Source organism: Homo sapiens, chromosome 12, assembly GCF_000001405.40.
Source record: "Homo sapiens chromosome 12, GRCh38.p14 Primary Assembly".
Classification (NCBI taxonomy): domain Eukaryota; kingdom Metazoa; phylum Chordata; class Mammalia; order Primates; family Hominidae; genus Homo; species Homo sapiens.
The window spans coordinates 39,960,060-39,985,653 of NC_000012.12; the positions used below are offsets into that span (position 1 = coordinate 39,960,060).

The window sequence follows — 25,594 nt, forward strand, 5'->3', positions numbered from 1 at the left end:
TTGTCTATAGACAGGGCCACTTTTTTTTCCTATATGTAAATATATCTTTATTGGGGTCTGCTAAAATATCAGTTACTTTTCTCTAAAGTTATATGCATATTTCATAATATTGATTCCGCAGTACCTGACATTTTGGTTTCTATTATCATTGGTATCTTTTTTAACATTACATTTCCTCTTTGATGCTGCACTTGTATGTTAATTTTATATCCACCAATTTTGGTGAACTCTATTAATTCTAAAAGATTTTCTGCACATTCTCTTGAGTTTTCTACATAGACTTCCGCAAACAATGACAGCTTTATTTATTCCTTTATAATGTTGGCTAGTATTTTCTTGGAGATGAAGACTCGTTCTATTGTCTAAGCTGCAGTGCAGCAGCGTGATCTCAGCTCACTGCAACCTCTGCCTTCAGGTTCCAGCAATTCTCCTGCCTCGGCCTCCTGAGTAGCTGGGATTACAGGCACGCATGACCATGCCTGGCTAATTTTTTTATTTCTAGTAGAGACAGGGTTTCACCATGTTGGCCAGGCTGGTCTCGAACTCCTGACCTCAAGTAATCCACCCACCTCAACCTCCAAAGTGTTGGGATTACAGGCGTGAGCCACCGCGCCCGGCCTAATATTGGCTAGTATTTTCAGTACAACGTTTATTAAATGGTGAAAAATGGTTTCCTGTCTCATTCTTTTTTTTTTTTTTTTTTTTCAAGACAGAGTCTTACTGTGTCACCCAGGCTGGAGTGCAGTGGCGTGATTTTGGCTCACTGCAACCTCAGTCTCCCAGGTGCAACCGATTCTCCTTTCTCGACCTCTCGAGTGGCTGAGATTACAGGCGCTCGCCACCACAGCTGGCAAAATTTTGTATTTTGGTAGAGATGGGGTTTCACCACGTTGGCCATGCTGGTCTCGAACTCCCGACCTTCAGTGATCCACTCGTCTTGGCCTTCCAAAATGCTGGGATTACAGGCGTGAGCCATTGTGCCTGGCCCTTGCATGATTTTAAAGAGAATGTTTTTTTCTTTTTTTTTTTTTTACTTTGAGACGGAGTCTCGCTCTGTCATCAGGCTGGAGTGCAGTGGCATGATCTTGGCTCACTGCAACCTCTGCCTCTTGGGTTCAAGCAATTCTCCTGCCTCAGCCTCCCAACTAGCTGGAACTACAGGTGCACGCCACCACGCCCAGCTTATTTTTTATAATTTTGGTAGAGATGGGGTTTCACCATGTTTGCCAGGCTGGTCTTGAATTCCTGACCTCAAGTGATCTACCTGCCTCAGCCTCCCAAAGTGCTGGGATTACAGGCATGAGCCACCACGCCTGGACTAAAGAGAATGCTTCCAAAGTTTCATCAGTAATATCCTTGATGAAAGCTTCTGATACGTATCCTTAAACAGATTTAGGAAGTTCCCTTTTATTCCTGGTTTACTAACCTTTTATCAATAAGCAATAATTTTTTTGTTTATGACAGGGTCTCACTCTGTGCCCCAGACTAGAGTGCACTGGTATGATCATGGTTCACCACAGCCTTAAACTTCTGGACTCGAGCAATCCTCTCGCCTCAACCTCCCGAGTAGTTGAGACCACAGGCACATGCCATCACATCTGGCTAATTAAAAAAAAATTTTTTTTTTAGAGGCAAGGTTTCATGTTGCCCAGGCTGGTCTCAAACTCCTGGGCTCAAGCAATCCTCCTGCCTCACCCTCCCAAAGCGCTGTGATTACAGGTGTGAGCCGCCACACTCGGCCTTTCTTTTCTTTTTATGAGACAGAGTCTCACTCTGTCACCTAAGCTGGAAAGCTGCGGCACAATCACAGCTCACTGTAACTTCAAAACTCCTGGGCTCAAGCAATCCTCCCACCTCAACCTCCCAAGGAGAAAAAACAATGAACTTTAATACATGTACCAAAATATCACATATACCCCATAAATATGGGGTGTTTACTTAATTAAAAAAGCAATGAATTTTATCAAATGCCTTTTCTCCCTCTATGGAGATGAGCGTTACACAGTAAGTCACAATAATAGCTTTGTAACATCAAACCACCTTCGCATTCCTGAGAAAAGCCCTATGGATTACCCAGGCTGGAGTGCAGTGGCATGATTTCAGCTCACTATGGCCTCTGCCTCCCGGTTCAAGTGATTCTCTTGCCTCAGCCTCCTGAGTAGCTGGGATTACAGGCGCACACCACCATGCCCAGCTAATTTTTGTATTTTTAGTAGAGACAGGGTTTCACCATGTTGGCCAGGCTGGCTTCAAACTCCTAACCTCAGGTGATACGCCCACCTTGGCCTCCCAGTGTGCTGGGATTACAGGCGTGAGCCACCATGCCCAGCCATGGGTTACTCTTGAAGGCATCACTCAAATGCCTCTCTGGCAGAATTTCCAGATCCCATATAGAGACAAAAAAATCATGTCCAGTAGATTTCTTAGAATACTCACAGTCACCCATTTATGCATCTCTGCCTGAACTCCTCATGGCTACTTATTGTGCCATGCTGCCTGCCATTAGACAAAGCCACTTTTAAATGAAAGGACAGACACACTTGACTGATGGTATTCTGACAGTATTTTCACAATATGCTGTCATTCTTAGTGATATAATAAAGTTTTCTCACCTACCCGGTTTTTCAATAGATATTATATGCAAGGAAAAAAAGAATATATATGACTTGCATCTGCTAAAGACTATACAACCATAATCAGTGTTGAATAGTACAATTTCTCCAAATCAGGGAAACTCAGGTTTGACTCTATCTTGGCCATTTAGAAGCTGTGTGATGTTGTGCAGGTTCCTTACCTTCCCTGAGCTCCAGGTGTTTTCATAATTAAAGGTGGAAATGCATGAGAAATATATCCCACATTAATTCAACTACTGATGCTATGATTTCATCCATAAGCTCTCTAGTAGAATTTCTCCATAGCTGAATACAATTTCAAAGTTTTACATTAAAAATAGCCAATAGCTCACGCCTGTAATCCCAGCACTTTGGGAGGCTGAGGCAGGCGGATCACGAGGTCAGGAGATCGAGACCATCCTGGCTAACACGGTGAAAACCCGTCTCTACTAAAAATACAAAAAAATTAGCCGGGCATGGTGGCGGGCGCCTGTAGTCCCAGCTACTTGGGAGGCTGAGGCAGGAGAATGGCGTGAATCCAGGAGGTGGAGCTTGCAGTGAGCCGAGATCACGGCACTGCACTCCAGCCTGGGCGACAGAGCGAGACTCCGTCTCAAAAAAAAAAAAAAAAAAATAGCCAATAAATTGTATAGGTTTTCCTTCTCTGTAATCAAATAAACAATTACCCTTCACATTTAAGATTCCACAAAATATTTCAAATAGATTCATTAACATAAAGAATAAATGCATTCTATACTTATAATTTCTTTCCTTTATATTTAACACTCCTACACAGATTACTAACAATACACTAGGCATAAATGAGTAAGACCTAGACAACAGGCTCCCATAATAAATGACAGTTCTATCAAGTTCAATCAAGATATGTACTGCCAAACTATTCTTACAACTACATTTAAATCAGAATTATTCCATTCCCCTGCCTTCATTTTAGATCACATGTAGGCTCCCAAGAAATCAAGTATTCTTGAATCTCTATCAGAGCAGAGCATTTTGAGATGAACTATGCTCCTAAACATTAATCATTTGCTTGGTTAAAGAAACTGTATTTGTATAGATATTTAAGTTTTATATGGATATTGAGTAATATTCTATTAGCACATTCCCTTTTTAGATTCAGACATTCAACAAATAAGTACTAATGAGAATTAGAGTGAAAAGCTAACCATGTATGATTCATGCTATATTTGGCTTTATATATAACAGTAATCATGAATAAAGCTATCAAAAAATAAAACTCAGCCTGAATTCAATGGCCCATGATCTTATGTTGGGGCAGAGTATCTTTTAAAAAAATTGAAATTGTCCCCCAGATTCCGGAAGTATGACTACTGCAAACATAAGGGGGTACCTTGAAATGTAACATCTTAAAAGAAAGAGACGATGTTTTCTGTCAGCATGATTCTCAGAAAATCATAATTATTCCAAAAATATCCCAGAACTATATATATAAAAATGAACTGAACATATGAGGCTGTAAATGTATTCTCTAATTTCAAAGTAGTTCTTGTCCCTCCCTCAACTCTCTTTTTCTATTCTTCTATTACCTGTACCACTAAAAAAGGAAAAAGAAAAACTATTGAATTTACATATTAAAAAATACCAGTGGTAGTCATTAAATAAAGAGAGAGTAAAGATGTTCTATAAAAAAGGGTAGTGCTAAGTTCTCCAAAATGTGGTAGGAAGTAAAGCATTACGTTCATGGAAGAGAAGAGTTAATTCAAAGTATGGACTTTCCAGTCTCTCATCTTTCACTTACTTATAAAGGTGCCATTCCTAAAATAGATAAGAAGCATAAATGGTTATGGAAGAATGTAAATGCTATGGGAAAAGGAGGAGGACATATAACCATATCTTCCATTTGTTTAGCTATGCTAGGACACTTGAGATTTAAAACTATCTTTACCATGTCGGGAACATAACTGACAGAGCCTACAAGGAAGATGCATACATGAATTTGGTCACCATATGCAAGAGGGTTGGTGCACAGGGTCCTGGAGGTCACAAGGTGAATGCTGGATCTTAGGATCTATTTTTCTCATAAAGACAATCCCATCATATCCTATGTCATAGCATATAAATAAAACAAATCTCTCTTCTTAAGGCTGACGAACACACAGTCTATCTTGGTCAATTAAACTCTTTCCATGAAAGCTATAAGAGGCTGCTGAACCTGCTTTCAGTTAGTAAAGAAGGCCAGCCACCTTTGAGAACCTTAGTGGAAAGGCTGATCTACACATTAAGTATGAATCAAAATCTAGATTTCTATAGGGAAAAAAATTATTAGATAAGCCATTTAGTCTTCTTGTCTTATTTTACAAATTTTCAGGAAAAAAACCTCTCCAATAAAACAATCAGATACAAATGACAAGATATAATATTTCCCAATTAAATACAACTTAAATAACAGAAAAGATGTCAGCTAACTAACACAGTTCTATGTATTCCTGAAAAATCTGTTAAGAGCAACATAATACCAAAACAATCCCTTCAATTTTCTTTGCCCCAAAACATTTCATGGCCTAAAGCAGTTGGTAACTAAACACTCCCTTATGAGATCAATACCAAAAATGAATTAATATTGAAAAGCAAGTTTATGGACATTATTATGCTGGAACATTAGTTTTAATTTTACAATGCTATTGGATTTCTATGAAGAACTGATCTTTTTATTGCAGAAAACATTTTAAGGTTTTCTGTTAAAGTCTCCTCTTGTTACATTTAGCAAAACTGAAGAGTACAAAATGAGATAACACAGTGAAAGAGCCTGAGTAATCTGAATGGGTTCAAATGACTTTTAAAAACTACTTACAAACCTGGCTTAGAATAAAGTAATCCAATTTACGTACCAAGAAACCAAAATAATACTTCAAAAATAAATTTCACAGATGTCTACTTATATATCCAGTGACATACACTAGTGAGGGGCCTTGCTTTGTAAAAAACAATGTTTAGGTTTATTCATGTATTATAAAGATTAGTTCAGAAATTTCAGTGACCTTTTAGGATAGAGTACAATTTTCAGAGTTTGGCCTATAAGGGTAATTTCCTTCAGGATCATAACTGTATTTGATTTGAAGGCAAACCTATGATATATCACTATGTCTGAAACACAATCACTGAACCAAATCCAATGAAATACTGCTACATTAAAAGGAATGCAAAGGAAAAACTAAAGCTCTTAAAGAACATTTAGGAATGATTAACATTATTAATTTTAGGCAACTGGCATATCCCTGAGTGCTCAGATTTAAACAAAACTTGGACATGAGAAATCTGCTAGCATAATACTACACCTATGGGATGCGGGGCTTGACTGTCCATAAGGAGGTCATTAAAATCTTTTTTTCATATATATATACATATATATATGATACACACACATATATAAATATAAAATATGTATGCATATGTATGTAGAGATGTGTGTGTGTATATATATATATAGAGAGAGAGAGAGGTGGGGTATGTGTGTGTAGAGAGAGAGAGAAGTATGTATATGTATAAATACATAAATACAGCGTGAGAGAGAGAGGTTTTGTAGTTACAATGATCATCATTACAGAATCTTCTTATTACTTGTAGACCTTTACTTCCTGAATCCCCTTTTCTGGCCCTTCTCCACCCCGATTTTGATAAGGGAAGTGAGGTACCACTGAATATATAAATAGATTTGTTCCAAATTCCTGCAACAATTCTGTTCCTTCTTCCATGTTTTTAATTCACAGACACATGCCCACAAAGCTAAATGTTCTGGAAAACTGGCAGAATTTCAGTAGAGAATGATTAACAGCAGGAAACCATAGAAGTGAGTTCCACATGTTCTGCTCTAGAAATTTTAACAATAGAAATTAGAAAAAAATAATATTGGTATTCCATTAGCACATTCAGCAGACAGAAAATATTTGCATCCAGTGACTGCTAGTCTGAGAAGAAATACGCATGCCAAGCACTCCTATTGATCATCCCTTAAGCATTCCCCTAAATCCATTCTGATGGCCATAGCACAGGATAGATTTTAATGCTACTTTTATGTGCTTTCCTACTGTGTATAAGGACTGGGCAAGGAGAATTCGAAAGATACGTCTCCAGATGCCTTTGCTTTTTAAATGTCTGTGGGTATCTAACCTTATTTTCCTTGGCATTTTGCTTTTAACTTGTGATTGTTTTTCATTAGGCTGATTCTTCTAATCTTTGAACATGACACAAATCATAATTCTACTTGATATGGCTTGAGATGCTCTTCTAGATAAATATGGCTCTCTAGGGATGAGGTCAGTATTTGAAAATCTACATATGGCTGTTTTATTTTGAGGCATGTCTGCAGTTACCATATGGTCAGTGGCAATCTGTGAAGGGAGTCAGGATGTGTCTATTTAAAATACTGACTGAAATTTGAGTTTCTACTTAGAAATTGCTTTGATCCAGCTACTTTTTCTGAATGCTAAGTCTTATTTTGTCTTTTAAAAATGCAATCTTCCCACTGTACTGCAAAACTCAACTGTAAAATAAAACTTGTTTCTACATATTTTCATTGATTAAATCTGTTATGCATATATAAAAAGTCTAGCATTATATTCATTAGCAAAGATGTAGACACAATCCTAGCCTTGCTATTCAACTTATTGATGACTTATTTATGCTGTATTTTAGCATGGCTCATGATCACTGGAATGCACAATTTAGGCAGAAGTGAAGCAATGTCTAGCTGAGTGCCTCTCAGGGATACCCTGTCCTCTGAGATCTCTTAAGACACCAAGATTCTATAACTCTACTGAATGAAACTATTCTAGCAACATTTACATTAAAAATATATGACTCCTTATGTAAAATACAGCCATGACGTAACTGCTGTGTAGGAGTATAAACAAGTGTTCTATTTGAGTGAAGTATGTGGCTATTATAAATTATTCCCATTCATTATTCATCAAGTTTCTATAAATGTTTTAGGAAAATAGTGAAGAACCATTTTCCTAGCACTTTTCTAAAAAGTACTATTCATAAATTACTTAGCCTATTGGTATAAAGCTCATTTACTTCATTGTCATATATATCCATTTGGCCTTTTAATGAAAGGAGGGAAGGAGAAGAGAAAGAAATACACCTGTGGGAGTTGGATGGTGTAAAGGTAGCAAGGCAAGCTAAATTATTTCTAAGAAAGCAAAGAACTGACATATTTAAAGACAGAAAATGGTATCTACATAACCTCAAAAAGGTATGTTCTAAGCATTGTATTTTGACCTGAAGTCATGACTTAAATAGATTCCCTATCCACACATAATTTCACCTCACTTTGCAAATTACCTCAAAAATCTTGAACCACTTCAGAAGCCATCTGATACAAATTCCTATAGCTTCCCTCCTGTATTAGTCTATTCTCATATTGCTAATAAAGACATACCCGAGATTGGGTAATTTCTAAAGGAAAGAGGTTTAATGGATTCACCATTCAGCATGGTTTGGGAGGCCTCAGGAAACTTACAATCATGGCAGAAGGGAAAGCAAACATGTCCTTCTTAACATGGTGGCAGCAAGGAGATATGCAGAGTGAAGGGTGGTGTGGGGTGGTGCGGCGGGAGAGCCCCTTATTAAACCATCAGATCTCATGAAAACTCACTGACTATCACGAGAACAACATGGAGGTAACTGCCTCCATGATTCAATTACCTCCCATCAGGTCCCTCCCAAGATGCATGGGGATTATGGGAACTACAATTCAAGATGAGGTTTGGGTAGAGACACAGCCAAACATATCACCTCCCTTCCAACACAAAGATTCTCGGTATTTCTGTTTGTTTTTTCCTTGTAGCTCAGCAAAAATGGTGACTCTTTCCTCTCTGAACCCCATCTATGTTGAACATGTCAGGTCTCCCTCCTCCTCTGGGATCTTGTACACTATTATTCCCCTTCCTTGCCTGCCAATCAATCCCTCTATCCCAAGTCTACCAACCTACAATTCCGTCACTTCTACATTCCTTGAAAGAAGAGGTCTATACACACTTTCCCATTACTGACACTTTACTCTCTAAGCCTGCCCTTTCTTTTTTATTTTTGTTGTTTTTTTTTGGTATATATATATATATATATATATATATATATATATATATATATATATCTACATTATAATTTAAGTTCTAGGGTACATGTGCACAACGTGCAGGTTTGTTACATATGTATACATGTGCCATGTTGGTGTGCTGCACCCATTAACTCGTCATTTACATTAGGTATATCTCCTAATGCTTTCCCTCCCTCCTTCCCCCACCCCACAACAGGCCCCGGTGTGTGATGTTCCCCTTCTTATGTCCAAGTGTTCTCATTGTTCAATTCCCATCTATGAGTGAGAACACGTGGTGTTTGGTTTTTTTGTCCTTGCGATAGTTTGCTGAGAATGATGGTTTCCAGCTTCATCCATGTCCCTACAAAGGACATGAACTCATCCTTTTTTATGGCTGCATAGTATTCAATGGTGTATATGTGCCACATTTTCTTAATCCAGTCTATCATTGATGGACATTTGGGTTGGTTCCAAGTCTTTGCTATTGTGAGTAGTGCCACAATAAACATAGGTGTGCATGTGTCTTTATAGTAGCATGATTTATAATCCTTTGGGTATATACCCAGTAATGGGATTGCTGGGTCAAATGGTATTTCTAGTTCTAGATCCTTGAGGAATCGCCACACTGTCTTCCACAATGGTTGAACTAGTTTACGGTCCCACCAACAGTGTAAAAGTGTTCCTATTTCTCCACATCCTCTCCAGCACCTGTTGTTTCCTGACTTTTTAATGATTGCCATTCTAACTGGTGTGAGATGATATCTCACTGTGGTTTTGATTTGCATTTCTCTGATGGCCAGTGATGATGAGCATTTCTTCATGTGTTTTTTAGCTGCATAAATGTCTTCTTTTGAGAAGTGTCTGTTCATATCCTTTGCCCACTTGTTGATGGGGTTGTTTGTTTTTTTCTTGTAAATTTGTTGGAGTTCATTGTAGATTCTGGATATTAGCCCTTTGTCAGATGAATAGATTGCAAAAATTTTCTCCCATTCTGTAGGTTGCTGTTCACTCTGATGGTAGTTTCTTTTGCTGTGCAGAAGCTCTTTAGTTTAATTAGATCCCATTTGTCAATTTTGGCTTTTGTTGCCATTGCTTTTGGTGTTTTAGACATGAAGTCCTTGCCCATGCCTATGTCCTGAAAGGTATTGCCTAGGTTTTCTTCTAGGGTTTTTATGGTTTTAGGTCTAACATGTAAGTCTTTAATCCATCTTGAATTAATTTTTGTATAAGATGTAAGGAAGGGATCCAGTTTCAGCTTTCTACATATGGCTAGCCAGTTTTCCCAGCACCATTTGTTAAACAGGGAATCCTTTCCCCATTTCTTGCTTTCATCAGGTTTGTCAAAGATCAGATGGTTGTAGATGTGTGGTATTATTTCTGAGGGCACTGTTCTGTTCCGTTGATCTATATCTCTGTTTTGGTACCAGTACCATGCTGTTTTGGTTACTGTAGCCTTGTAGTATAGTTTGAAGTCAGGTAGCGTGATGCCTCCAGCTTTGTTCTTTTGGCTTAGGATTGACTTGGCAATGCAGGCTCTTTTTTGGTTCCATATGAACTTTAAAGTGGTTTTTTCCAATTCTGTGAAGAAAGTTGCCCTTTCTTGTTCTATTGAAACTACTCTCAAAAAGTCATTAATTAAACTCTACTTGGTAATACCAACAGTGAAGTGGTCTCTTCGCATTTCATATCCTTAGATGATTCTTTTTTAATACACTCATTGGTACCTTTGCCTTTTGTGATACTACAGAATTTTGTTCCTCCTCTAACATTTCTTTGTTTCATTTCAGCAACCTTTATGAGATTCTTCTCTTCTGTTACCCTTAATGCAGGCCATCTCCAAGATTTTACCCCAAGTCCTTAGGTAATTCTACCATGGCCTGTCTCTTTTACTTCCAAAGTTCAATCTTTTGGTTTTAAAAAACAAAACATACACATGCACACACAATTTTCATCTCTAATTCTGATCTTTTTCTTGATCACCAAAATAATATCAGGGTCCTGATGCTTCAAGAAGTAACTTTGTAAGTTGCATTATTACATTGGCTATCAATACTTTTCACCATTCACATTGGGTATGCCCTATAGGAAAACTCATGTAAAAAACTATATAGATGCCAGTGCAAGTATTTTTTCCCTTGAGTGACCTTTTTTCCCCCTTGTGAACAATAAGAATCATGTAACGGACTGCATTTTTCTTTCCGGTATGGCTGATAAGAAGCTCAGAATCAAATATGCAACAAATCTTTACCAAGTGTTTAAGCCTTTACGGTCACTAATATATATTTTAGCTCTTCCCCTAGTGTTGATTTTCTCTTCTAATTCTTAACTTCCCATATTATTATGTTTTTATTTTTATTTAGTTCCTATTTTATAATTTATATTTATTTACATTTTTGAATGTATCTTCCATAAGTTTCCTAAAATCATTTCGGGAATAAGACAAAATACAACCCAATAAACAATGTAGAACAGCTGCAGGTATGCAACAAATTCAAGATCAAAGTCATTGAATCATTCGTAATTATGCAACTGTTTATTCCCATAGTTTAGCTTACTATAAGTGCTCAATGAATGATTACTGAACTAAATAAAAATATAATTTGGTTTTTAAAAATATTTCCTTTAGATGTTTTTCACCTAATAAGCATTTATTTCTATTAAGGTCTAACATTAGAAAAGAATTTGAAATATTACCTTTTCTGGCAAAAAGTACAAGAGTTTATTAACCATAACCTGTTTCCATCATTTCAGAATCAGCCTGAGTCATGTCAACATCTCTGGGTGGATGAAAGGCTCTATAATATAATTTCTTTATGACAGGGAGTAAATTCATAGTGCAGTTGCTTCCTCCCATTACCTTCTGACACACTCTATAACAATCCATATAGTTTATGTTAGGGGTTTGGAACAACATATATGCCTACAAGAAAAAATAAAAATGTGGCTGGGAACAGTGGCTCATGCCTATAATCCCAGCACTTTGGGAGGCCGAGGTGGGCAGATCACCTGAGGTCAGGAGTTCAAGACCAGCCTGGCCAACATGGCAAAACCCTGTCTCTATTAAAAATACAAATATTAGATGGGCATGTTGGTTTGCGCCTGTAATCCCAGCTACTCAGGAGGCTGAGGCAAAAGAATCGCTTGAGCCCAGGAGGCGGAGGTTGCAGTGAGCTGAGATCACGCCACTGCACTCCAGCCTGGGAGATAAGGGGATGGAGCAAGAGTGTCTCCAGAAAAAAAAAAAAAAATATATATATATATATATTTTTTTTTATATAAATATATATATAAATTATATATAATATATAAAAATTATATATATAGAATTTATATTTATATATATATATATAAATTGATTTTGCTGCTTTACTTCTTAGACTACCATCTGATAAAATATACTCTTTCAGAGTTACCAGTGAAAAAATGAAGGTATAAAGTAGGCTCTTCACTGATGGTCAATTGTTATCTCTAAGAATCACATGGCAGGAACACAGGAACAGCACTTATGGCCAAAGTAGGGCAGGGAACATAGCCCACAAAGCAAAATTCTATTGCGAAATGATCTCCCAAGAGCCTGCTGCCCAAGAATGCAGTTTATGCAGATGATGGTTAATTAACATGACTCATCCATCATACTGCACTTGCTAATGACCTCAGTTCTTATTTCACTGAGGAAACAGAAGCAATTAGAAGAGAACTAATTCATCTTCCCACCAAATCTGCAATCTCCCTGCATCTTGGCCCATATCATCTGCCATCCAAAATGTGAAAAGATCAACCTCTCTATGTTGGATGTTGATCATACTCTTTAAGCCTATGGAGAACATTGCTCCTATAATTATCTCTCCCTCAATCCCAACGTCAGTTACCCTATCTATTAGATCTTCTTCATCAGCAGAGAACATTGATGTAGTATCATTCATAGTAAAATAAAACTGAAAAATCAACCTTTTAAAAAACCCATATCATTCTCCAGTTCATATCTTATTCTCCTGCCCTGATTTATAGAAAAGCTAATTAAAAGTCTCTACACCAGGCTGGGCATAGTGGCTCACACCTGTAATCCCAGCACTTTGGGAGGCCAAGGCAGGTGGATCACCTGAGGTCGGGAGTTCGAGACCAGCCTGACCAACATGGAGAAACCCCGTCTCTACTAAAAATACAAAATTAGCTGGGCGTGGTGGTGCATGCCTGTAATCCCAGCTACTCAGGAGGCTGAGGCAGGAGAATTGCTTGAACCTGGCAGGTGGAGTCTGCAGTGAGCCGAGATCACACCATTGCACTCCAGCCCGGGCAACAAGAGCAAAACTCCATCTCAATCAATCAATCAATCAATGTCTCTATACCTTTTACTTCCACTTTCTTGCCTCTACTGTCTCCTCAACTCCATTCTAAGCAGGCTTTCCTCTCCACAAATTCACTGAAATTGTTCTTGTCAAGCTCTCCAACTACCTCTACTAAGCAGATTCAATGATCAAGTCTCTGCTATCTCACCTAAACTAAGCGCAGCATTGGAAACAGTGGCTTTCTCCTTCTTGAAACACTCCCTTCACTGGCTTTCAGAAACCACTTTCTTTTGGTTTTACTTCTGTATCATTGGAAGCCTCTGTTCAGTCTCTTTTTCTGGATTCAGCTTTGCTTCCTGATATCCAAACTTTGGAATGCCCCAGAGCCCAGATTCCTTCTCTTCTCCCCATAGAGGGGTTCCTCATGGATGTTTTCCAATCTCATGACTCCCAAATCAACACTGTCATGCCAACCTGTCCTCTGAGCTCCACTGTCACACATCTGACTTCTTATTCCACATCTGCATTGAAATATACAACTGGTATCTCAAATTGTACTAGCCAAGACAATACTCTTGATTCCTCGGCTACTCACTTCTCCTTCAGCATTCCCCCCTTCATGAAATAAATCCCCCATTCACCCAGGTGCTTAAGCAACTAGAGTCATCTTTCCCTCACACCTGTCTGTTAAATCTAATCACTTAGGCTGCATTTCTTCAGAGCACTTACTGCTATCAGAGGTCAAGGTATGGATGTATTTGTTGTCTTGTTTTTCTCTCTTAGTAGGCTCTAATTTCCATGCATTTGGTTCTAATTTCCATCTGCAGAGTGGTCCATAATTTGTATATTTTTGGAAAGAGTTTTTCTACTTCAAAAACGACAACTGCTTGTGATTCAAGGCACATTTCCATACCATTCTGTCTGATCTTTTCCAGGACCAGAGTCAGTGGGAAAAGCATGTGCTCTGGAATTAGACATGCCTCAGTTTCTGTAAGAGTTCTACCCTACCAACCCTACCAGCAGCAGCAGTAGCAGCATTATCTTTATCACTGACAATGTATCAGCACTTGCTGTTTTCCACAAACCATGTTAACTTCTTTATATACTTTAATTCTCACAACAAATATATGAGTTAGTGTTATCATTCCTGTTTTACAGATGAAGTTTATGCAGATCCCAGAACTGATAACTACTACAGCTAGAACTTAGTCAAGAATCGTAAACCAAAACTCTTCCTCTTGACCAGTGTATTCATCTGCAATCCCAGTTCAACAGCTTATCCAAAGTCACCCACTTACATATGAACAGCACAGAGAGGGTTGGGGCCATATCTGACCTCAACCCATGTTCTTGCTAACCATCCTGCCTGTTTTTGGTGTCCTCATTTATAAAACAGGATGATGACGCAAACCAAGATGATGCATGCATACTGCCTGGACAAGGCATACACTCAACAGCTGCTAGCTCCCCTTACTGGGTTCTGATATTTACAGGTACATGACTGAGTTTTTGTTAAAGCATCACAGTGTTTATAAAAGTTTTCTTAGTCCCTGTAGTATCTTCTACCACTTTTGAAGCACTTCATTGAGACTCTAAATGCAAAACTACAAAATCATAAGATACGTTCAAATTATTAAAATATCGTATTATGTAGCAATTTACACAATTCTAGACAAATGGCATGGGGCAATGATGAATATCACTGAATACCATTGCCTGTAAACTAATTGAGAAGTTTTACACTGTGAATTTTGCAATATAATTCTCCTGCTCCCCTTACATGTTTACACCTTACATTTTCCTGTAAGCCTTTTACATAATTTTTCACAGAAAACTTACAGGCAAAATTCTTTTCTATTGCCAACATTTCTTAAATTTTGAATTAATCAAGTGTTTTGTGTTCAGGCACTTTTATGTATTATAAAACTATAGCTAAATTTTACTTTTCCATTCAGAAATCTTAAAGTTCATATTAGCATCAAAAGGCATGCATTCTTTCTTTTCAATGTTTTAATGTTACATGAGCAAATGCTTTTGCTAGGCCTGGAAAGGGCTGAATTACTATTCATTATGGTGATGCTTTTAACAAATACCTTCAGTTTAGACAAACAGACATGCAACAGATAGATATGAAGGACAAATTTCACTCAGACAAAATGTATACTTACTTTCTGTTAAATCCTAATTTTAAAAGCACTCCCCACCACCTGACTTACATTTTAGTTTGCTAATTTGCTATGGAATAGGAAGAAAATAATGCCAAAGGAGGGAAGTGAAAAAAATTTATCTTCCCTAATAGTAGACCAACTAAATATTTTAACTACGTACATTCTTTTAAGACAATCTAAATTCAGACACTCTAAGTTCAGACATTCTGAATTCTCATAAAAATATGTTCGTGTAATAAGGTTTGTTCAGTGATGACTTAGACAATGCCTAAATTTTTGCCATATTTGTGCCACTAAAAGGTAGTAGACATTTTCTAAATTTCTCCATGGCAAGCCCCATTAATTCTAATTAAAGCTTCCCATTGCCAGCTTATCCTTGGCAGATAAAACAGTTTAGAGACTGCAGCTAAATGTAAGATTTCCCAGAAGGAACTGAAAATAAGTTAGACGTATTCAAGTAAGCCACCTGTCTGGAGGAAGATTTATTTATTTGATCAGAATAGCTGTCCAAACTTCAGATGACTCATGCACAAAACAGATGTAGCTCTTTAAATGCAAGTATTTTTATTTCACTCTCTATTAACATGCATCACAAATGGATGGAGCAACTCTAAGGAGCCAACGGATACAAATGTTCAATAACGTATATTTGCTTATGAATCTTCAGTTGTAAATAAGCATCAAACCGGATTCTTAAAGTTGAAGATTCTAAATAGCTATGTGCACTAACAAACAGCAGACTAGGAGTGCTCCATTCTAAGCTAAGTTTCCAAATATAATAACTGCTAATCAAAACAGTGACATCACAATCAGATACGTGAAACACAGAGGAGGCACAATTGTCACATGGTGTCAGCTCTGCTCAGGAGTTCATCTTTTTGTCTTCTAATGGGGCTGAAAACAGACAGCCCACCCTTAGATAAGCACCTGGGGTACCCATTATGACAGCATTACAGCAAGTTCAAGGACATAGCTGCCCCCATAAACAACACCCAAAATTAGAACAGGCAAGTTACTTAACCTCTCCATATCCCACCATCTTTTTAGTTACTGTCAAATGCAATTCACCATCAGCACCAGGACTCTGTATGGTAGGCTCCAAGATAAATTAGACATGGTCCTTGATGTCAAGAAACACAATGGTACGTGGCACTTACCAAAGTAGACAATGATAAGTGCCATAAGGGTTGACTTCATGACCGCAGAGTTGCAAACAAGAGAGATATATTCTAGCTGAAGCAGACCATATATGAACACATTTATTAATTCCACGATTCATTTGAAATTAGAATAGTTAATTTTCATTAATGTTACCTCTGGTATTTCCCACTTGTAACAATGTTTTAATTTTTAAATCTTCACTTTTTTTTTTAAAGACTGGGGGGGTCTCACTATGTTGCTCAGGTTGGTCTTGAACACCTGACCTCAAGCAACCTTCCTGCTTCAGCCTCCCAAGTAGCTTGGATTACAGGAGTGAAACTGCTGCCCCTGGCCATGTTTCACTTTTTAATCATCAGTATGTCATTTTTGTGTGTGTGGAGAACCAAACTGACTTTATTAAATATTTTATATAAGATGTTTTCATTGTATACCTTCTACCTAACCCAAACCAAAACTTCCAACTTTCTGGACACTTAACATCTCTTGGCACTTTCTGGCCTTATCATTAAGATAAAAAATGAAATCTACCTGTAGAAAAACTCAAGGATGTTGTCTTTCTTTAGCCCTAACCCTAGCATTGCCATCTTATGCAATGCATTAAAATGTTTTCCTAAAAATTAACTTTAAACAACATCAGGAAGGAAAGCATGAAAACAACATACGTACTTTAAGCTAAATGACTGGATTTCATAGAGTTTGACATCTATGGTAACAGATAAAAGGATGAGGGGTTTGGAAAGAGGAAGGTAGGCATGAGCTCATGTTTATTCAGTTCCTACTAGATTCAAGCTCTATATAGATTAATCTGCAGTGCTCCCTAAGAGGTTTGTAGTATTAATCCCATTGGGCAGATTAGCAAACAAAGGCTCAAAGAGGCTCAGTAACTTTTCAAAGATCAAGGAGCTAGTGAGTGGTAAGGTCAATGTTTATCTAACCCCAAACCCCTCAAAGTTTCTAATGTTCCCACATATCAAACTGTGTCTCTGATCTCTTTCAGCCATTGAATTAGCAACTGAGTCAAACAGAACTTCCTTCGTTGTTGCAGAGATTATTTTGTCTCAGTGTTCACTTTCTCAAGAAGGAAAAGAAAGCAGTAGACTGAGCTTCTCTGAAAAGAGGCACAGTCTTTTTCTCATTACATCAAGAACGGTTATTAAATAATGTGGCTGAAAAAACACATCAGAATTTATAAATACGTTTCCTTCAAAGTCATCTTGGGAGGGAGGTTACAAAATTATTTCCTTGATGTTGCTACAGCTCAAAATATAACTGAAAATCTTTTAGAAATATCTTCAGAGCCAGTGACACACTCCGAATATCCTCAGTGGTCACAAATCTTCACTCTCTGCTAATCAAGGTAGCTTTTGGCAGTAATCCAGAGGCAAGCATTATTGCTAAAATGGCTTATTCAGTTGAGTGAAAGCATTTGAGATCAAAAAGAAGAGATTCCTATAAATTAATGAGTTGTGCCAAGTTGTGGCTCAATCCAGGGCCTTGGCTCATGGTCTTCACCCTTTCTCTGGCATTACCAGAGATGCCTCCCCTAAATGCCCATTTCCCTCCTATCTAAATTATTATCTTTATGATAATTTTTCTTCAGAGGCCTGTGTATTTCACGTGTGTGTTTTCATTAATGTCTCCCCCACCACACTGTAAGCTCTGTGAGCTCAGTAACCATGTAGCTTTCTCACTGCAGTATATCTGGCATCTAGAGAGAACTGATAGAAGTAAGCCTTCAATACATTTTTGTTGAGTGAGTGAATGAAACGTTTTATGGCTCAAAAATTGGCTCTCAAGGCAATTCTAATAAAAATAGAAGTTTTCTGAGCAACAAATGGCAGCATCACAAAAATACAGTCCATCTCCCCCAAATGGAAGAACTCTTAATTGGTGAAGAAACCAACTTGTACTTTAGAGTCACACTATCTCTTTAACAAAGTGCTTGACTCTCGAGCCAAGATGGCCGAATAGGAACAGCTCCAGTCTACAGCTCCCAGCGTAAGCGATGCAGAAGACGGGTGATTTCTGCATTTACATCTGAGGTACCGAGTTCATCACACTGGGGAGTGCCAGACAGTGGGCGCAGGCCAGTGGGTGCGCGCACCGTGCGCGAGCCGAAGCAGGGCGAGGCATTGCCTCACCTGGGAAGCGCAAGGGGTCAGGGAGTTCCCTTTCGGAGTCAAAGAAAGGGGTGACGGATGCACCTGGAAAATCGGGTCACTCCCACCCGAATATGGCGCTTTTCAGACTGGCTTAAAAAACGGCGCACCACGCGACAATATCCCACACCTGGCTCGGAGGGTCCTACGCCCACGGAATCTCGCGGATTGCTAGCACAGCAGTCTGAGATCAAACTGCAAGGCGGCAGCAAGGCTGGGGGAGAGGCGCCCGCCATTGCCCAGGCTTGCTTAGGTAAACAAAGCAGCCTGGAAGCTCGAACTGGGTGGAGCCCACCACAGCTCAAGGAGGCCTGCCTGCCTCTGTAGGCTCCACCTCTGGGGGCAGGGCACAGACAAACAAAAAGACAGCAGTAACCTCTGCAGACTTAAATGTCCCTGTCTGACAGCTTTGAAGAGAGCAGTGGTTCTCCCAGCACGCAGCTGGAGATCTGAGAACGGGCAGACTGCCTCCTCAAGTGGGTCCCTGACCCCTGACCCCCGAGCAGCCTAACTGGGAGGCACCCCCCAGCAGCGGCACACTGACACCTCACATGGCAGGGTATTCCAACAGACCTGCAGCTGAGGGTCCTGTCTGTTAGAAGGGAAACTAACAAACAGAAAGGACATCCACACCAAAAACCCATCTGTACATCACCATCATCAAAGACCAAAAGTAGATAAAACCACACAGATGGGGAAAAAACAGAACAGAAAAACTGGAAACTCTAAAACGCAGAGCGCCTCTCCTCCTCCAAAGGAACGCAGTTCCTCACCAGCAACGGAACAAAGCTGGATGGAGAATGATTTTGATGAGCTGAGAGAAGAAGGCTTCAGACGATCAAATTACTCTGAGCTACGGGAGGACATTCAAACCAAAGGCAAAGAAGTTGAAAACTTTGAAAAAAATTTATAAGAATGTATAACTAGAATAACCAATACAGAGAAGTGCTTAAAGGAGCTGATGGAGCTGAAAGCCAAGGCTCGAGAACTACGTGAAGAATGCAGAAGCCTCAGGAGCCGATGCGATCAACTGGAAGAAAGGGTATCAGCAACGGAAGATGAAATGAATGAAATGAAGCGAGAAGGGAAGTTTAGAGAAAAAAGAATAAAAAGAAATGAGCAAAGCCTCCAAGAAATATGGGACTATGTGAAAAGACCAAATCTACGTCTGATTGGTGTACCTGAAAGTGATGCGGAGAATGGAACCAAGTTGGAAAACACTCTGCAGGATATTATCCAGGAGAACTTCCCCAATCTAGCAAGGCAGGCCAACGTTCAGATTCAGGAAATACAGAGAATGCCACAAAGATACTCCTCGAGAAGAGCAACTCCAAGACACATAATTGTCAGATTCACCAAAGTTGAAATGAAGGAAAAAATGTTAAGGGCAGCCAGAGAGAAAGGTCGGGTTACCCTCAAAGGGAAGCCCATCAGACTAACAGCGGATCTCTCGGCAGAAACCCTACAAGCCAGAAGAGAGTGAGGGCCAATATTCAACATTCTTAAAGAAAAGAATTTTCAACCCAGAATTTCATATCCAGCCAAACAAAGCTTCATAAGTGAAGGAGAAATAAAATACTTTATAGACAAGCAAATGCTGAGAGATTTTGTCACCACCAGGCCTGCCCTAAAAGAGCTCCTGAAGGAAGCGCTAAACATGGAAAGGAACAACCAGTACCAGCCACTGCAAAATCATGCCAAAATGTAAAGACCATCGAGACTAGGAAGAAACTGCATCAACTAACAAGCAAAATCACCAGTTAACATCATAATGACAGGATCAAATTCACACATAACAATATTAACTTTAAATGTAAATGGACTATATTCTCCAATTAAAAGACACAGACTGGCAAGTTGGATAAAGAGTCAAGACCCATCAGTGTGCTGTATTCAGGAAACCCATCTCATGTGCAGAGACACACATAGGCTCAAAATAAAAGGATGGAGGAAGATCTACCAAGCAAATGGAAAACAAAAAAAGGCAGGGGTTGCAATCCTAGTCTCTGATAAAGCAGACTTTAAACCAACAAAGATCAAAAGAGACAAAGAAGGCCATTACATAATGGTAAAGGGATCAATTCAACAAGAGGAGCTAACTATCCTAAATATATATGCACCCAATACAGGAGCACCCAGATTCATAAAGCAAGTCCTGAGTGACCTACAAAGAGACTTAGACTCCCACACAATAATAATGGGAGACTTTAACACCCCACTATCAACATTAGACAGATCAACGAGACAGAAAGTCAACAAGGATACCCAGGAATTGAACTCAGCTCTGCACCAAGCGGACCTAACAGACATCTACAGAACTCTCCACCCCAAATCAACAGAATATACATTTTTTTCAGCACCACACCACACCTATTCCAAAATTGACCACATAGTTGGAAGGAAAGCTCTCCTCAGCAAATGTAAAAGAACAGAAATTATAACAAACTATCTCTCAGACCACAGTGCAATCAAACTAGAACTCAGGATTAAGAATCTCACTCAAAGCCGCTCAACTACATGGAAACTGAACAGCCTGCTCCTGAATGACTACTGGGTACATAACGAAATGAAGGCAGAAATAAAGATGTTCTTTGAAACCAACGAGAACAAAGACACAACATATCAGAATCTCTGGGATGCATTCAAAGCAGTGTGTAGAGGGAAATTTATAGCACTAAATGCCCACAAGAGAAAGCAGGAAAGATCCAAAATTGACACCCTAACATCACAATGAAAAGAACTAGAAAAGCAAGAGCAAACACATTCAAAAGCTAGCAGAAGGCAAGAAATAACTAAAATCAGAGCAGAACTGAAGGAAATAGAGACACACAAAAACCCTTCAAAAAATCAATGAATCCAGGAGCTGGTTTTTTGAAAGGATCAACAAAATTGATAGACCGCTAGCAAGACTAATAAAGAAAAAAAGAGAGAAGAATCAAATGGACACAATAAAAAATGATAAAGGGGATATCACCACCGATCCCACAGAAATACAAACTACCATCAGAGAATACTACAAACACCTCTACGCAAATAAACTAGAAAATCTAGAAGAAATGGATACATTCCTCGACACATACACTCTCCCAAGACTAAACCAGGAAGAAGTTGAATCTCTGAATACACCAATAACAGGAGCTGAAATTGTGGCAATAATCAATAGCTTACCCACCAAAAAGAGTCCAGGACCAGATGGATTCACAGCCGAATTCTACCAGAGGTACAAGGAGGAACTGGTACCATTCCTTCTGAAACTATTCCAATCAATAGAAAAAGAGGGAATCCTCCCTAACTCATTTTATGAGGCCAGCATCATTCTGATACCAAAGCCGGGCAGAGACACAACCAAAAAAGAGAATTTTAGACCAATATCTTTGATGAACATTGATGCAAAAATCCTCAATAAAATACTGGCAAACCGAATCCAGCAGCACATCAAAAAGCTTATCCACCATGATCAAGTGGGCTTCATCCCTGGGATGCAAGGCTGGTTCAATATACGCAAATCAATAAATGTAATCCAGCATATAAACAGAGCCAAAGACAAAAACCACATGATTATCTCAATAGATGCAGAAAAAGCCTTTGACAAAATTCAACAACCCTTCATGCTAAAAACTCTCAATAAATTAGGTATTGATGGGACGTATTTCAAAATAATAAGAGCTATCTATGACAAACCCACAGCCAATATCATACTGAATGGGCAAAAACTGGAAGCATTCCCTTTGAAAACTGGCACAAGACAGGGATGCCCTCTCTCACCACTCCTATTCAACATAGTGTTGGAAGTTCTGGCCAGGGCAATCAGGCAGGAGAAGGAAATAAAGGGTATTCAATTAGGAAAAGAGGAAGTCAAATTGTCCCTGTTTGCAGACGACATGATTGTTTACCTAGAAAACCCCATCGTCTCAGCCCAAAATCTCCTTAAGCTGATAAGCAACTTCAGCAAAGTCTCAGGATACAAAATCAAAGTACAAAAATCACAAGCATTCTTATACACCAACAACAGACAAACAGAGAGCCAAATCATGAGTGAACTCCCATTCACAACTGCTTCAAAGAGAATAAAATACCTAGGAATCCAACTTACAAGGGATGTGAAGCACCTCTTCAAGGAGAACTACAAACCACTGCTCAAGGAAATAAAAGAGGATACAAACAAATGGAAGAACATTCCATGCTCATGGGTAGGAAGAATCAATATCGTGAAAATGGCCATACTGCCCAAGGTAATTTACAGATTCAGTGCCATCCCCATCAAGCTACCAATGACTTTCTTCACAGAATTGGAAAAAACTACTTTAAAGTTCATATGGAACCAAAAAAGAGCCCGCATTGCCAAGTCAATCCTAAGCCAAAAGAACAAAGCTGGAGGCATCACACTACCTGACTTCAAACTATACTACAAGACTACAGTAACCAAAACAGCATGGTACTGGTACCAAAACAGAGATATAGATCAATGGAACAGAACAGAGCCCTCAGAAATAACGCCGCATACCTACAACTATCTGATCTTTGACAAACCTGAGAAAAACAAGCAATGGGGAAAGGATCCCCTATTTAATAAATGGTGCTGGGAAAACTGGCTAGCCATATGTAGAAAGCTGAAACTGGATCCCTTCCTTACACCTTATACAAAACTCAATTCAAGATGGATTAAAGATTTAAACATTAGACCTAAAACCATAAAAACCCTAGAAGAAAACCTAGGCATTACCATTCAGGACATAGGCGTGGGCAAGGACTTCATGTCCAAAACACCAAAAGCAATGGCAACAAAAGCCAAAATTGACAAATGGGATCTAATTAAACTAAAGAGCTTCTGCACAGCAAAAGAAACTACCATCAGAGTGAACAGACAACCTACAACATGGGAGAAAATTTTCGCAACCTACTCATCTGACAAAGGGCTAATATCCAGAATCTACAATGAACTCAAACAAATTTACAAGAAAAAAAGAAACAACCCCATCAAAAAGTGGGCAAAGGACATGAACAGACACTTCTCAAAAGAAGACATTTATGCAGCCAAAAAACACATGAAAAAATGCTCATCATCACTGGCCATCAGAGAAATGCAAATCAAAACCACTATGAGATATCATCTCACACCAGTTAGAATGGCAATCATTAAAAAGTCAGGAAACAACAGGTGCTGGAGAGGATGTGGAGAAATAGGAACACTTTTACACTGTTGGTGGGACTGTAAACTAGTTCAACCATTGTGGAAGTCAGTGTGGCGATTCCTCAGGGATCTAGAACTAGAAATACCATTTGACCCAGCAATCCCATTACTGGGTATATACCCAAATGACTATAAATCATGCTGCTATAAAGACACATGCACACGTATGTTTATTGCGGCATTATTCACAATAGCAAAGACTTGGAACCAACCCAAATGTCCAACAATCATAGACTGGATTAAGAAAATGTGGCACATATACACCATGGAATACTATGCAGCCATAAAAAAGGATGAGTTCATGTCCTTTGTAGGGACATGGATGAAATTGGAAACCATCATTCTCAGTAAACTATCGCAAGAAGAAAAAACCAAACACCACATATTCTCACTCATAGGTGGGAACTGAACAATGAGATCACATGGACACAGGAAGGGGAATATCACAATCTGGGGACTGTGGTGGGGTGGGGGCAGGGGGGAGGGATAGCATTGGGAGATATACCTAATGCTAGATGACGAGTTAGTGGGTGCAGTGCACCAGCACAGCACATGTATACATATGTAACTAACCTGCACAATGTGCACATGTACCCTAAAACTTAAAGTATAATAAAAAAAAAAGTGCTTATAAAATATGAGAACAGAGCAACGGTAAGTGCAATCTTCTATAAACAAAGAATTTAATAAAAGAGACGGAAATAAAAATAACTTTAAAAAGTTAAATGTTTTTCATTTAACTTTTGTTTTTACCCAATTTAAGTGTAAATTCCTGGTACCAAAACTAGATTACAATATTGTGTAATATACAATAGACAAAGTAAATTTTTAGAAAAGCATTACTACAATTAATTATGAAGGTTTAATGCAGAAGTTCTGGATTACTAATATCCAGTGAATATATTCCATTCATAATTTCTAAAAACTGCTTTTTAAAAAAAATCAAAGCCATTTACTTCTTTGATGATGTTACTTAAAAGGTAGTCAACAGTTTCTCTCAGTTAATTTTTTTAAGAGGCTAATGTCCGTCTTGATGAAAAATGGAGAATATCCTACAGGGATTCAGATATTTTTGTCAACATCTTTACGGCTTTGTAAGTAGCAAAACACACAGCCCTTAGATAGATAGCTTTTCACGTGCTCATTAACTGGTAGAGATTTGCTGTCATATATCTTTACAAAGACGAAGAAGCAATCTATGGGAGGCCACTGGGGAAATCACCAAGAAGGAAGAATCTGACAATGATTTTTATGCCCCATAAAAGCGAGAATATCATAACTAGAATACCAAACCCACCAGTTTGCTTCTGTTACCTATACTTAAGTTACTCACACATATGGGGGAGGGATATATGCAAACAATTTTTAACTATAATAATAGTAATACATGGTTAATGTTCACAATCTGGAAAATTACAAAAAATGAAAAACAAAGGGAAACCATCTCCAAACACTGTCTCGAGGAAATCATGATTATCGCAATTTTGTCTCTCTTCCCAGTGCTCTGTTTTCTACTCCTCCTGCTGTTGGTTTCTTGGTGTTAGTTTGTTAGAATTCTTTTAGCTTCCCTTTACTGTTATGCCTATATCTGCCTGTTTCTCTTTCCTAAAATTACCAAGTTAGCCATTATTTGCATTCTCTGATGCAGATTACCTCTGCTTATTTAATAAAAGTGAAATAAAATTATTCATAGGAGGTAATAATGGTTAAGAAAAGTATTAAGGAACTGACTAAAATGATTTATTCACAGTGTGTCTCTAAATAGCTTCTGCTTGAAGTATCAAAAGAGAAATGAAAGGTATAAAAGTGTTCCAGGAGCTAAAAAATAAAGTTAGGAATTCAGTGCATAGGAATTCAGTGCATGGAGAGGTTGTAGACAAGAAGGCTGCTTTTAGGAAAGCATAAAACAATGTACTGATACAGAAAGACACATCTAAA

General features: G+C 38.6%; 1 protein-coding gene across 8 annotated transcripts in view, besides 2 other annotated features; it reads right to left on the bottom strand.

Moving 5' to 3' along the window:
- SLC2A13 (solute carrier family 2 member 13) overlaps positions 1-25,594 on the bottom strand; it is a 351,057-nt gene that overhangs the window by 205,035 nt on the left and 120,428 nt on the right. The window lies entirely within an intron of this gene.
- Positions 17,975-18,532: an enhancer, noted in NCBI's record as "H3K4me1 hESC enhancer chr12:40371836-40372393 (GRCh37/hg19 assembly coordinates)". NCBI's record gives its function as "activates a minimal SCP1, AML or CMV promoter by ChIP-STARR-seq in primed H9 embryonic stem cells {active_cell/tissue: H9 hESC(primed)}" and the evidence as "EXISTENCE:reporter gene assay evidence [ECO:0000049][PMID:30033119]".
- Positions 18,533-19,089: an enhancer, noted in NCBI's record as "H3K4me1 hESC enhancer chr12:40372394-40372950 (GRCh37/hg19 assembly coordinates)". NCBI's record gives its function as "activates a minimal SCP1, AML or CMV promoter by ChIP-STARR-seq in primed H9 embryonic stem cells {active_cell/tissue: H9 hESC(primed)}" and the evidence as "EXISTENCE:reporter gene assay evidence [ECO:0000049][PMID:30033119]".